Below are 13921 nucleotides of genomic sequence, written 5' to 3' on the forward strand. Positions count from 1 at the left end.
CATTCTCCTGCCTTAGCCTCCAGAGTAGCTGGGACTACAGGCACCCGCCACCACGCCCAGCTAATTTTTTTGTATTTTTTGGTAGAGACGGGGTTTCACCGTGTTAGCCAGGATGGTCTCCATCTCCTGACCTTGTGATCCGCCCGCTTTGGCCTCCCAAAGTGCTGGGATTACAGGAGTGAGCCACTGCACCCGTGCCAAAATGTACTTTATTTAGGTGACTCTTTCGTGGGAACCTCAAACAAGCAATCATTGCTAGCTGAGTGCTGACCCTGTACTGAGCTCTGGGGAGACAGGGTTGAATAAAACAAAGTCACTGCCCACAGGTAACTTATATTCAATACAATGGGGGAAAATACAATCACTGCTTCCCTGGGGTTGTATTTTTCCATTGTTAAAGTGGGCAGTTTGCTCGAGAGTCATTTTCACTATTGGCAATTCAAATACACCTTTTGTCAGTTAAAAAACAAGTGTGCCAGGGACCTGAGCTTCATCTTAGGGCAGGGTGGGTGGAAACATTTGTGAGTCTCCAGCTTTTAGTCACCTGAAACTTGGAAACTTGGAGGTCTTTTGAGCAGTTTATGAGTCTCTGCCTGCTCTGGTCGGCTGCCTTCTTTTATTGCTCTGTTGGTTTTGCTAAAGAGTTAAAATATTAAGGCTTCATAAAATTAGGAAGTTAACAAGCTCAAAAACCAAGTGTTTGAGTTACTTCATTCCACTGAGAGAGCTGTAAATGGGTTGCATTGGAACTTAAAATAACTGCATTGAGTAAGTGATGGTGGCGGGCACCATGAGCTAACTGTGGTCAGAAGCCTGATGGCCTCCGCTTTGGGGCTGGATTCTCCGTTTGGAGCTGTGTGATCCTGGATGAGTTTCATGCCTTGGATTCAGAAATCAGACTTTCCATGAGCTTATATTTCAAGTGAATAAATAGCTCTGGTCAGGCTTAATTTGAAGAAGAAGTAAGCTTGGCAGTGGGTGAGGGTTCCTTGGAAGGCCAACTGGGGCGGAGGGGCTGAGGGCAAGCGGCTCTGGCCCTTCCTGGGGTGTTACCTGACCAGGTAACAGCTCCCTCGACCTCTCGGAGCCTCGGCAGTGAGGGGATTGGGCCAGTTGATCTCTGAGGCTCCTTTTAACTAGAATGGTCTGGGATTTTTCTAAGAAAACAAGTCTTTGAGGAGGTTGTGGTCACCTCATTCCTAATTTAAAGCCTGGGGAGGCTTCCTTATGAGCTACTTCTTTTTCCTAAATTATTGATGGTTAAAGCCAAGGCTGGCATCGAATAGATGTGATCCATCTTGAGCCTGGTTGCTTTGTGTTTCAGCTTTGTACTGGCTGCTGAAGTCCCCGGGAGACCACAGGGGTGACATGTTCATCTCCAAGAGATGAGCTTCCACGAGACTCATACCCCTTGCTCCTTCCCTGGGGCTCCAAGGCCTTTGGGTCATCTGAAGTGAGATACCCTTGTGTCATTTCATCTTTTCCTTCTCCACCTTCTCTGCCGTTAAAAAAAAAAGAAGAAAGAGAAAAATCCTATTAATAGAGAAACCGAGAAGTGTAGCCATTCTGAATGTGTTTCCAAAAGGCTCCTGGAAGTGGCATGGAAGTTACAGTGATTCAGCACTACTTGGTGACGTGTGCCTAGAACCACAGGGGGACATTAGCCAGGACAACACGCCTCAGGACAGAAGTAAGTGGCTGCGAAGAGGCATGTCCATCACTGCCGGAAAGATGCAGAGTTCAGTTTTTGGAGTCAGTGCTGAGAGTTCCATTTCTAAATTCATTCAGAGCATTTATTTAACACCTACTGTGTGCTCAGAAGTGTATCAGGTATGGGGACTCAGAGGTAAGGGCTGGTGGCCCCTGATCTCAAGGTACTCGTGGTAGATAGTATGATGCTCAGCTTAAGGGCTGGGCTTCTGAAGTCGGATTGCCATTTTCTGGATGTGTGGTGTTTCTTGGGTGACTTCATCTCTAAGTCTCAGTTTCCCCATCAGTAAGATAAGAGAAGTAATAGCAGATACATACGTAGCTCTTAGGGCATTGCAGAATGGAAGGACCTCCTTATATGAAACGCAAAGCACTGTGCCTGATGCATTGCTAGAACTCAGGCAATATTAGCGTGTTGTCATTGTCATCATCATCATCATCATCATCATCATCATCATCATCATCTTCAAGGCACTGACAAAGGAGTCAGCTGTGTGGGAGGAGTGCTGGGACACTCTTGTCTCCCTGGGGATGAGGTGGGTGGGTGGGTTAGGAAATCTTCACAGAGAAGGAGGGTGATGTGAGACTTCTGTCCGGGAGCTGACTCGGAATTTGCCATCTAATATGTTGGAAAAGGTTCTCTGGGCAGAGGTATCCAAAGTCACTTTGCCTGTCACCCTTTGAGGTCCCAGTTGTTGCCTATATCATGTGACCAGTGTGTGGCTTCTCTTGAATTAAGAGCTGCATGTCTGGACTGCCTGGGATTTTACAGATGTCATCTCGTTAACTCTCCCTGGAGCTTGTGACACCCAGGAGATGGCAGTTTATAGAAGCCCTGGCACCTTCTTGAATGATGCTTGGTTTGGTTTCTATGCACTGGGAATTCCTCACAAGGAAAGATTTGTCACATCTTAAGGAAGGAAAAAAAGGCAAATTTGGGAGTCCATGGATACCCTATTATTTTAGATTCCAGGACAAATTGTCGAATAAGCACGTTTCATAAAAACAATCCTCCGCAGCATCCCGTGACAGCAGCTGGTCCCTCGCCACAGGATAATTATGTCTCCTTGTGCACACAAAAGTCTCCGAGGGCATATTGTTGTGGCTGGAGTTTCTGATAATTTCCAAATTGAACAACCTCAGTCCTAATGAGTCAGAGGCTTGTGCAATATTTTCAAACCTCAGGAACATCTTTTTCATTAGTTGTGCAATAAAGATGGTAGGCCTATCTCTGTGATGAGCTGTTTTTTTTTCTCAAAGTTTGATGAGATTCGCCGTAGAATTCCTTCTCACATAGTCTTGGGCAAGATTTTACCCGATCTTCCAACACATGAGTCATCTCATATCCTGTGACTAAGAAGAGCTGTCTCTTTGGTGCCAGTTTTCTAAGTGCAGTCACCACTTGATGGAGACGGATGGACACAGTTGGGATTGCCCAGGCAGATGGGCAATCTTGCCAGCTAGACATAGGGGAGGGAAGCCTCAATGTTCAGCGGTCACATCTGCTTTTCTGTGGCACAGAGTGAGCTATACAGGAATATTGTATTCTCCAGGACAGTTAGGGCAGTGGGAAATGTCATCAAACAGAACAGTGACCCAAAGAGCCACTGCCACTGGGTGCTCTGTGGGAGCTGGGCACTGTGCTCATTGTGTTATGGGCCTTGCTTTGTTCTTACCTTGTAGCCACCCAGAGAGGCAGGGCATTATCCTTGCTTCCTAGCTGAGGCCACAGAAGAGGCTCCTAGAGGTTAGCTGTAACTTGTCCAAGGCCAGCCAGTGCAAGGAGGCAGAGCCAGGATTTGAGCCCATGTCTGTTTCACTCCCAAACTATTCTTCAGATTTCTTTAAGTCAAGTGTTATTTAGAAATGTTTTGTTTATTCATCAAATATTTGGTGGGTGTTTCCAGCTATCTTTCTGTTATTAATTTCTAGTTTAATTCTATTGTGGGCTGAGAATATATTTTGTATGATTTCTATTCTATTACGTTTGTTAGGGTGTATTTTCTGGTCTAGAATGTGGTCTGTCTTGGTGAGTGTTCCCTGTGTGCTTGAGAGGAATGTGTGTTCTGTCATTGTTGAATGGAGTGTTCTATAAATGTCACTTAGGTCTAGTGGATTGATAGTGCGGTTCAGGTCAACTGTATCCTTCCTGATTTTCTGCCTACTGATCTATCAATTCCTGAAAGAGAAGTGTTGACGTCTCCTGAGTCTATTCTGAAACACTGAATTGCGGTCTCCATGATGAACCACTAGAGTTAGAAAACCTGGGTCCTAGCCCCATTTGGGCCTTTGGGATGACTCCCTTCTGCCTCAGTTTCCTCATCTACAACAGGGGGACAATGATGCTGCCTAGGAGACATCAGCAGGATACTGTGAAAGTCCAGTGGCATAAGGGGTATGGAGGAGCTTCGTCAACTCCTAAAGCTTCAGTGCTAGGAATCCTAAAGCATTGAAATCCAAAGATATAAGGAATATGAAGGAGTTTTGTCAATTCCTAATGCTTCAGTGCTAGGAATCCTAAAGCATTAAAGTCCAATGATATAAGGAATATGAAGGAGCTTTGTCAACTCCTAAAGCTTCAATGCTAGGAATCCTAAAGCATTGAAGTCCAGTGATATAAGGAATATGAAGGAGTTTTATCAACTCCCAATGCTTCAGTGCTAGGAATCCTAAAGCACTGAAGTCCAATGATACAAGGAATATGAAGGAGCTTTGTCAACTCCTAAAGCTTCAGTGCTTTAGGAGTCCTAAAGCATTGAAGCTGTAAGAGATTAGGACCTCTAGTTGGCAATTCCAGACTCTTCCAGGACTCCTGATAGAGCCAACACCAAGAATAGTGAAGCCAGAAGGATGGAAATAGTAAAATGCCTCCTGGGTGTCAAAGCATGGGTCTCCTCTGGGCATGTTCTCTTGTCCTACTGAGACATGATAGCTCTTGGCCAAAGTGACTGAACTTGACCCTCTGTTTCAGGAAGGCCAAATGCAGGGTTCACTACCATCATGTCCAAGGGCAGATGCGTTGGTCCAGAACATCAGCATCCCAATCATTATACCAAGCAAACAGCCGTCTCTGCCTGCACCGTGGAGAGCACACGCTCCTCCTGGGGTGGCCTGCATCCTGTGTTCTTCTCAGGCCGACTTTCTGTTTAATGTTTGCTGGTCAGGAAATGGCCTGAGCTGAGGTTCTTCAGATCCCAGTCTGACCTTTCTCCACCAGCATTTGTGGCTCTGAAAAATATAGCCCAGTGTGGTTTAGCCCCACTGGATGAAACCCAGTAGGAAAAGTCTGATAATAGCAGAAGACGCACAGGAGGAAGAGTGAGGATTTGAGAGCATCTGGGAAGGACCATGTGCCTGGATATCGTTCTGTCTGTGGGATTCTGTGACACTTGTCATTTACAGTCTGTTCCCATGGAATTCTCATCATTGGCCAAACATATAGTCCTTCTGTCCTCTGAAAAATATCATTCTGCTCCGACCTTTCACACCCATCTCTGACCACATCAACTCCCTGTTTGCATGCATCTTGTGGATGAAGGACACCACTTTACCTGTAAAGACACTGGTGGCTTCCCAAAGCCACCAACTGACTTGTAGAGAAGACAGAATCCCAGAGTATGAAACCTGAGGGTGAAGGGTCCTGGCAGGTCCTAGAGCTCAACCCTTCACTTCACAGGTGGGGAAACTGAGGGAGCCAATGGGAACATGACTCTCACAAGCTGCACAGCTCATCTGTAGGGGCCAGTGTGGAGTCTGTTTGTCCTGAGACCCAGGGCTGAGCCTTTGAGCCCTCCGCATCTCAGCCGCATCCTCCTGTTGGAGCAGTTAGGTGTTTGGGAGAGGCCACGGTCCATGCTCATGGTTTTCCTGTAAGGCTGGAGAAACAGGCCTTGTTCCCTTAGTCTCTCTAATCAAAATGAGGTTGCAGAAAACCCTTCTCCCTACTTCTCCCTAAAATAATTTCCTTGGGTTAGAAGATGACTAAAAGACTATTCATCCGATGACTGATGTCTCCCTTCAAGAGTTATAAGCACATATAAATGCCTTTGAATGGTAATTATAATAATTTTGCTGAAGGGAAAATATCAGTATAAATATCATGGTGGACACATGGAATGAGGACTGAGATGCTTTCATGTCTTTTCAGCTGTGGTTAGATTTTCTTTAAGCAGAATATACAAGTTTTTCCTCTCCTAGCATAAGGACTCTTTTTTTTTGTATCTTTTCTCTCTACTTTTTAGACATGATGGAAAATGCATTTATACATTTGATGACATATTGTACTATCTCAGTTGTTTAAAATTATAAATGTAATTTAATCATATGAAAAATTAAGAAAAGAAGATTCATATTTCACCATCATCTCCCCAGAAATATCATTTCTTTATTACTATTATTATTATTATTATTATTATTATTATTATTATTATTATTTTGAGACAGGGTCTTGCTCCATCACCCAGGCTGGAGTAAGGGGCACGATCTTGACTCCCTGCAACCTCCACCTCCCAGGTTCAAGCAGTTCTCATGCCTCAGCCTCCTCAGTAGCTGGGATTACAGGCCTGCACCACCACACCCAGCTACCTTTTATATTTTTAAGTAGAGACAGTTTCGCCATGTTGGCCAGACTGGTCTCGAACTCCTGGCCTCAAGTGATTGGCCTGCTTCAGCCTCCCAAAGTGTGGGGATTACAGGCATGAGCTACCATGCCTGGCCTAATTCCATCATTTCTGTCCCAAGTGTTGCCACCGTTTGGTTAACTGTTCCCCTGTTCACATCCATTTGGGCCAAGGTTGCAATGTTAAACAATCCTGAGATGGACATTTTCATGTTTATGGCTATTTCTGTATCTAGGGTCATTCTCTTAGGAGAGGTACTAAGGAGTACAAAAACTGGGAAGAAGGATATGGAATTTTTATGGATCTGGTATAAATTGCCAAATTATTTTCCAGAAGGGTTGTAGCCATATTTGTTGCCATCAGCTCTAGAATTTCAACCTCGTAAGTCACTGAAAGAAATTCTCCCAAAATCAATCCTTCAGGAATAATGGAAGAAGATGGTGCCAAACCCCAGCCATTCTGCTCACTGTTAGATTCCTTTTTTGGTCTTACAGGTTACTTTTATTCTCAGGTTGATGGCTCTTAGAGTTGAGCAATGTTTGGGGTAGAATAACGAGCACTTTTAAAACTTGGTTCTACCTGGGGAGGGGGTGAGTTGTGATCACAGACAGTCTCACCTGGGAGGGGCTTGGGTGTTTGTCGGCTTGTCCTTCTAACACTCGTGTCTCAGGCGAGCAGCCTGGGACCAGTGAGGTGACCTGAAGGCTGGAGGTCACAAGCTAAGAGGCGACAGAGAACCCAGGTCTCAGGAAGCCCAGCCCAGAGCTCGCTGCACTGAGCCTCTCGGATGCCAGCTCTGTCCAGGATGCGGGAGGAGGCCAGACTGATTTGGTCTGTTTTGAAAAGTGATGAAAATATTTATTCAAATGTTTTGTACTCATAGGCAGAAGTATAACAGGAGCTGCATATACAAAATTATTTTCTAGTAGTCACATTAAAAAAGTAAAAAGAAAGAACACGATTATTTTTCTTTTTAAAACAGCTTTATTGAGAGATAATTTACATACTATAAAATTTACCCCTTTAAAGTGTACAATTTGCTGTTCTTATATATTCACAATCATGCACGTATCACTACCAGCTCCAGGACACTTTCATCACCGTAAAAAGAAACCCCGTATCCATTAGTAGCCACCCCATACTTCTCCTCTGCCCAGCCCTAGGAAACCACCGGTTCATTTTCTATTTCTATGAATTTGCTTATTCTGGACATTTCATATAAATGGAATCAAAGAATACGTAACGGGCTTCTGTCTCTTAGCATAATGTTTTCAAGGTTGTCCACATTGTAGCATGGATCATTATTTCATTCCATTTTATGATTAAAAATATGCCTTTTAAGGGATACAGGGAGACCAGACGTCTATTTTATCTCCCCTCCCTGATGGGGAATCCTAATTTCAGCCTGGAAAGTCACTGCGAAAGTCTAAACTGCAGAGGTGATACTGTTTCCACTGGAAGAAACTGTAGCACCTGACTCAGGAAGCCAGCATTAAAACCAAGAATATTCTATATGGATGGGGATTACGCACTGAAAGGAAAACATGAGGAAATGCACTTTTCAGATTTATTAGATCATAGAACTTTTTTGGAGCTGGAAAGGATGTCGGAAACCGTCTAGCCTACCCCCTCATCTTACCACTGAGGTAACTGAGGCCCAGGAAGGGGAAGTGGCTTGTTTTGGGTCCGGGACCACTCTTCATTTCTTATTTGAGCCAAAGCTTCCTTCTGGCGTCTGTCTCTGTTTCACAAGTTCCCCTCGCATGGGGGCTGGGTACTGCTTGGAAGAACTGGCTTCTTCCTTGATACAGGGGCTCGTTCACCATCACCTCCCTCCCTCACGTCTCTTCTGCCTCTCTGCAGCCTCAGGCCCTCCTCCTGCACCAGGGGGGCAGACTCAACCCGGGTGGGCACTGCCTCCCAGTCCGTGGCCAGAGGCTGGAGGGCTAGGGAGACTGAACAGCCCCGGCAGCTCCAGACATAACAACCTATGTTGAGGAGTCAGGGCAGGAAGCGAACCCAGCTGAGAAATCTGCGAAGGTCAGGACCAGAGCCAGACGCTTATCAAGAGCAAAGTTAATGGTTTTTGTGAACCGAGCAGTCAGCTGTTTCCCCGAAGATAATAATAGACACATCATGTTGGGCATTCAGGAGGCATCTGAAAAAAAAAATGTGCAGTGGAATTGATTGGAAGCTTTTCCCTAATGCATAAAATAGGCCAGAAAAGACTATCAAATGTAACAGCACCGATCAAACCCAATAGATCAAGCAAGGACTGAAAAACACAATTTTTTTTTTCTTTGCCAGTGAGTCTGAAAAGTGATTTTCAATGACAGGCGCCTTTAAACATAGACAACATAAACAACAACATAGTTGTTCTGGAAGAGGCATCTTTTCCCAGTAAAGCCAAAGATGCAGATCTAGGCTGTGCTTGTGACTGACAGCACAGTGAGGGGTTCACAGCCAGCTGGCCAGGTGCCCCCCGAAAGCACATTTCGAATCTACTCTATTTGAGAGAGACTGCCTTAGCCTTGTTTGGGTAAGTCTTCCTCCTTCACTTCACCTGCCACAGACTTTTCCAGGCACCATCTGCTGCAGTCTTGGCCCAGCCCCTGCAACAGTTACTGCTCAAGGCACCCGGGACATGCAGGACGGGGGAGCAGCCTGAGGTCTGGCGTCCGGCGAGCTTTTCCCACTTGGAGCCGTCTGGGAGACTGTCCCGGAAAGAGAGGGGCTGCCAACACTTGGAAGTGCCAATGTGTGCTGCAAGTCGAGGCCAGGCTCCCGGCTCCCCCGCCTCTTCCTCCTTGATTCATTAAAAGGAAAGAAAGAGGCCACACGAAACTCTCCTGAATTTCATTTCTTTGTTTCTATGCAAAAGACAGAGCGTGGTCATTCATCATTCAAATTTTAGCCTTTTTAAACAAATAATAATTCCTGCTTGTGAATTCAGTGTATTTTAACAAGAGTAGGTCTGAGGGCCGTTGGCCGTGTCTTTCCTTAGATTTGCAGACAGCGGCCCTGATGGTGCATAGGGTTTCAGGTTTCCTTTAGACCTCAGCTGGCTGCCTGGGCCACCACTTAGCAATGCCATTGTCCTTCCTGTGCATTTTCTTTGCAGAATTCGAGGAAATCCAGTCGCACAGGCCCCTCTGTGCCCATGTCCCCGGCGCCCTGGAATGTGCAGTACCAGCAGCAGCGATTAGAATGGGGGTCTGGTTTCCCGGAATGTGCAAGGTCTGGCTTCTGTTTCTGCTGCCTCCATGCCCCAGACCAGTGCTGGGCCGGGCTCTGGGCTGGAGCCGTGGCTGACAAGTTTCCTTGGAATTTAATGGAGCGGGCCAGACAGCATGCAGCCACTCAAACTGAAAACCTGGGAAAGAAATGAGTGTTGTGGGGCAGCTTTGCTGCATTCACTGGGTCATATATGCTTCTTTTTCTTTTCCTCAGGCAACCCCTCTTGCAGACAGGAGGCCCCCTCCCCTTTCGCTTCATGCCTCACTGGCCATTAGGAACCTTTTAAAACTGATTTCTCTCCTGACCCTCAGAGAGAACATAGTCCAAGTTCCCTGGAGGAGGAGGAAGCGCTCTGTGTTTCTCTGCAGTTCACGGCTCAGTTAAATGCAGCCTACGTGCTGTCTTTCCCCACTCCTCTGCCTGCTCCCGTTGTGCTTCTCATGATCATTCTCAAATTCAGCGAGAAACCTCACAAAGGGAGCTTTTCTTAGGGAAGAGTCATCCTTGGCCTCCCGAATGTGGACCAGCCCCTCTCCCCAGCTGCACAGCATCAGGTTAGTTAACCACCTGCCTCCATCTGGGTCCTGTCTGGACAGGCCTACTCACACCTGCTGCAGGCATCCAACTTGCCCTCAGGTGCCTGTGGCTCGTCCAGAGGGGTGGAGCCCACATTCCAGTCCTGACAGGTAAAGTTCAGTGGCGGGGACCCTGCATTTAGTGTAAAGATCAATATTCCAGGTCCTCTCTTCCTGCCACCCAGCGACTGGCCGTTTGCAGGCACTCGGTCCCAGTTGTCCTGGGCCTGCAGCCCTTGCATTCTCTCTGCTTTGTCTCTGCTATTGCACCCCTGCCCCATCAGAAATGCAGGTGGGGGGGCCTTCCGCTGGGACAGTGAGAGACTGGGTAGTAAGGGGAGCGCTAGAGGGATGGTTGCGCTTGCATCCAGCCCTGACTGCATTCGCTCTCCCCCGCCTCTCTGTGAAGGTGCTGAGCTGTGAGTGGAACCAAGTGGATGAGAGTGGCCTTGGGCACCTGCCGATAAATTTCCCGGTGTGTCTTCTCCTCCTGGGAGTCCCATCTGGATTTGGGTCTGGATTTATTTATTCAGCAAGTAGCCTCTTTATAGTTACTTTTTTTTTTTTTTTTTTTTTGAGATGGAGTTTCACTTTGTCACCCAGGCTGGAGTGCACTGGCGCAATCTTGGCTCACTGCAAGCTCCGCCTTCCAGGTTCACGCCATTCTCCTGCCTCAGCCTCCCGAGTAGCTGGGACCACAGGTGCCTGCCACCATGCCTGGCTAATTTTTTGTATTTTTAGTAGAGACTGGGTTTCACTGTGTTAGCCAGGACGGTCTCGATCTCCTGACCTCATGATCTGCCCACCTTGGCCTCCCAAAGCGCTGGGATTACAGGTGTGAGCCACCATGCCCGGCCTGTAGTTACTTTTAATTTAGCCATGCTCGGGGCTGAAGGGGATGCCAAAGAAATATAAGATGAGCCCCTCAGACGGCTAAAGATGAAGATGAGGCCTCCAGTATGTACCTCCCACATACACCCCAGGAAATTCTGGGTGTCACTGGATTCTGGACCTCCCAAAAGCTGCTGGCACCTGGAGGATGGGGCCCCGAGGCTGGACCTCACTCCTGCTGGGTTGCTGGACTGGGAAAGTACTGATGGCAGCTGAGGAGTGTGTCCCAGACTTCACTGAGCCATTCCCAAAGATTATTCCAAGTTCTCCTGACACTGCACTGGAGGCCTGCTGTGCTGGCCTTCTTTATTTACAGTTTCTGACTGGTGTCTAGCAGCCCTGCCAGAGAGAGCGGCAGTGTGTCTGCAGGCGACCAGGAGAAATGTCTCAGGCTTTAGAGCAGGACTTTGAGCACATAGCTGTGGGGGCCCAGCAGGCTGTCTCCTGCACGGTTACTTCTCCTTGTCCTTTCATGGTCGAGAGGTTGCTGCCTGGCCCTTCAAGTGAGGATGGGACATGCTATCCATTGGCCTTAATTTCCAACCTCTGCATGATGCATTTTATGCTCCTGCCTTTGAAAGAACTTTTATTTTCTTGTCATTTATGCCCAGACCCCACATGGCAGAAGGAAGGGAGGCTGGGACAGGGGAGGCGGATAAGCTGCCGCTGACAGACCTGCCCAGTTTCTTAGCTCATCCCGGCCTCCATCCTGGTGAGCAGACACTGGCCCAATCCAGCCATATTTTTGGCTGAGTTTCTGTCTTCACATCTCATCCTTAACCCTGAATCCTGGCCATAGTTGGTACTGGGTTGTATTCTTATTTGTAATCTTTAAAGTAGGAATACCTTTGCTGGTATTTAAAGTGGAAGAAATCAGGTGAAGAATCACAAGTGATTTGCAAACTGGAAGAGACATTAGAATGTAAATGTGAGGAAGCGTCAGCATGAGGGGCTTGCCTGGGCTGCACAGCTTGCCTTGGCTGGAGTATGCACTGTTCTGGCATTGCAGAGAGGATGGGTACCTTGCCTCCCTGCAGGTGGGGGACTGTATCAGCCCCCGCAGACTGCTCCTGGGCTCCTGAGTTTGACAGATTTTTTTTTTTTTTTTTTGAGACGGACTCTCACTCTGTTGCCCAGGCTGGAGTGCAGTGGTGCGATCTCGGCTCACTGCAAGCTCCACCTCCTGGGTTCACGCCATTCTCCTGCCTCAGCCTCCCGAGTAGCTGGGACTACAGGCGCCTGCCACCACGCCTGGCTAATTTTTTGTATTTTTAGTAGAGACAGGGTTTCACCGTGTTAGCCAGGATGGTCTCGATTTCCTGACCTCATGATCTGCCTGCCTTGGCCTCCCAAAGTGCTGGGATTACAGGCTTGAGCCACTCGCCCGGCTGAGTTTGACCAGATTAAGGCAGCATCTCCAGTGGCACCTGAGCAGCTCCTGAGATGCTTTTCTGTGCTAAATCTGGATTTGGGGTATTAAATCAAATGAATTTGAAATGCAGGCACAGCTGGCCCCATGGGCATGGACCTGTGCAGTCACACCTTGCCCCGTGTTCAGAAGGGTGCTGTGCCTGTTTTAATGCTCTGCTGTTGCTCTCTTGAGATTCTTAATAATTTTTGAACAAAGGGCCCCACATACTCATTTTGTACTGGGTACTGCATATTATGTAGCTAGTCTTGAATCTAGGACAGTGCATTAAAATGCCATTGATTGGATCAATCTGCTCTTGCAACTGATTTGAATTTTGGGAACATGCTGTTTCCTGTGAATAAAGGAGGATTCATTTCTTTTCCCTCGAATACACTGCGTTCTGTTTTCCAAATTAGCTCTACGTATCAACTCAGCTGAGAAATTGGAAGCGGGGATTGTTCTGGCTGGAAGGGAAGGTTAGATTGTTAATCCTGCATCCTGGCCCTGATCTCACCGAGTGTGAAGCATGTTCCCACAATGGTGTGGGCTGCGGGGGGCTGGAGGCTGGCTGAGAAGGTGGGGACCAAGGAGGGAGGCTAGCCTGGGAGCCAGACAGATGGGGTTAGGCTCTTGCTTTTGCCACTCGCCAGCTCTGAGGCTTAGGGCAACATGATTTAATTCTCTGATCCTTGTTTTTTTCATCTTTCTGTAGACTGGTGATGAGATGCACCCTGCAGGCTTGCAGGCTTGCAGGAGTAATTAAAGGTAATATTTGTGCCTATTATTGGGCTTGACATATAGTAGATGCTCTACAATAAATAGATCCTATTATTCTTATTGATAATATTATTTTATTGCTAACATTGAAGGTTGGGTGGGATTTGACTAGCTGGAGGCGAGGAGAATGAGATCATCCAGGCCGGAAGGAAAAGAGACATGAATGCAGGGGGATGGGGTGGAGCACTTTGGAGGTGTGGGGAGAGGTCTGCAGGGTGGGAGTTGTGCATTAAGGAGTCGTGGGGAGAGTGGAGGAATCAGTGCCACATGGTGAATGAGAGGGGATCGTGGGCCCGAGGAGATGGCGATGGCTGCGGGGATCCTGCAGGAAGTTTATGTGCCCCAAAGTGGCATTATCAGTTAGGGGGAGACACTGAAGACAGAGGTGAGGCCTGCCTGAATTAGCGTAGAGTGGGATTCTTGGAAGCTTCAGAAGCTTGAGAAGAGCCACTTGGAGGTGTTGAAATGCACCTGGGAGGGACGTGGGGACCCAGCTCTGGGCTGAGAGCTGGGAGACGGAAACGCAGGTGACCTTGGCCTTGAAGATGGGGCATGATATTTAGTGCTTTATGTGCAATCTCACCTAGGACTCCCAAGCCCTTTGGAGTAGGTGATATTAGCTCCGTGTTACAGAAAGGGAGACTGAGGCTGAAGCAGGGACATTCATGATCTGAAGTCACACAGCTGTACGGGGCAGAAGT

At 47.4% G+C, this 13921-nt stretch overlaps 1 protein-coding gene across 1 annotated transcript in view, besides 3 other annotated features; it reads left to right on the top strand.

Moving 5' to 3' along the window:
- Positions 1–13921, top strand: part of HTRA1 (HtrA serine peptidase 1) — a 53355-nt gene that overhangs the window by 4716 nt on the left and 34718 nt on the right. The window lies entirely within an intron of this gene.
- Positions 7711–8234: an enhancer, noted in NCBI's record as "H3K4me1 hESC enhancer chr10:124233495-124234018 (GRCh37/hg19 assembly coordinates)". NCBI's record gives its function as "activates a minimal SCP1, AML or CMV promoter by ChIP-STARR-seq in naive H9 embryonic stem cells {active_cell/tissue: H9 hESC(naive)}" and the evidence as "EXISTENCE:reporter gene assay evidence [ECO:0000049][PMID:30033119]".
- Positions 8235–8756: an enhancer, noted in NCBI's record as "H3K4me1 hESC enhancer chr10:124234019-124234540 (GRCh37/hg19 assembly coordinates)". NCBI's record gives its function as "activates a minimal SCP1, AML or CMV promoter by ChIP-STARR-seq in naive H9 embryonic stem cells {active_cell/tissue: H9 hESC(naive)}" and the evidence as "EXISTENCE:reporter gene assay evidence [ECO:0000049][PMID:30033119]".
- Positions 9853–10578: an enhancer, noted in NCBI's record as "H3K4me1 hESC enhancer chr10:124235637-124236362 (GRCh37/hg19 assembly coordinates)". NCBI's record gives its function as "activates a minimal SCP1, AML or CMV promoter by ChIP-STARR-seq in primed H9 embryonic stem cells {active_cell/tissue: H9 hESC(primed)}" and the evidence as "EXISTENCE:reporter gene assay evidence [ECO:0000049][PMID:30033119]".

The sequence above is a fragment of the Homo sapiens genome, chromosome 10 (assembly GCF_000001405.40).
Source record: "Homo sapiens chromosome 10, GRCh38.p14 Primary Assembly".
Classification (NCBI taxonomy): Eukaryota; Metazoa; Chordata; class Mammalia; order Primates; family Hominidae; genus Homo; species Homo sapiens.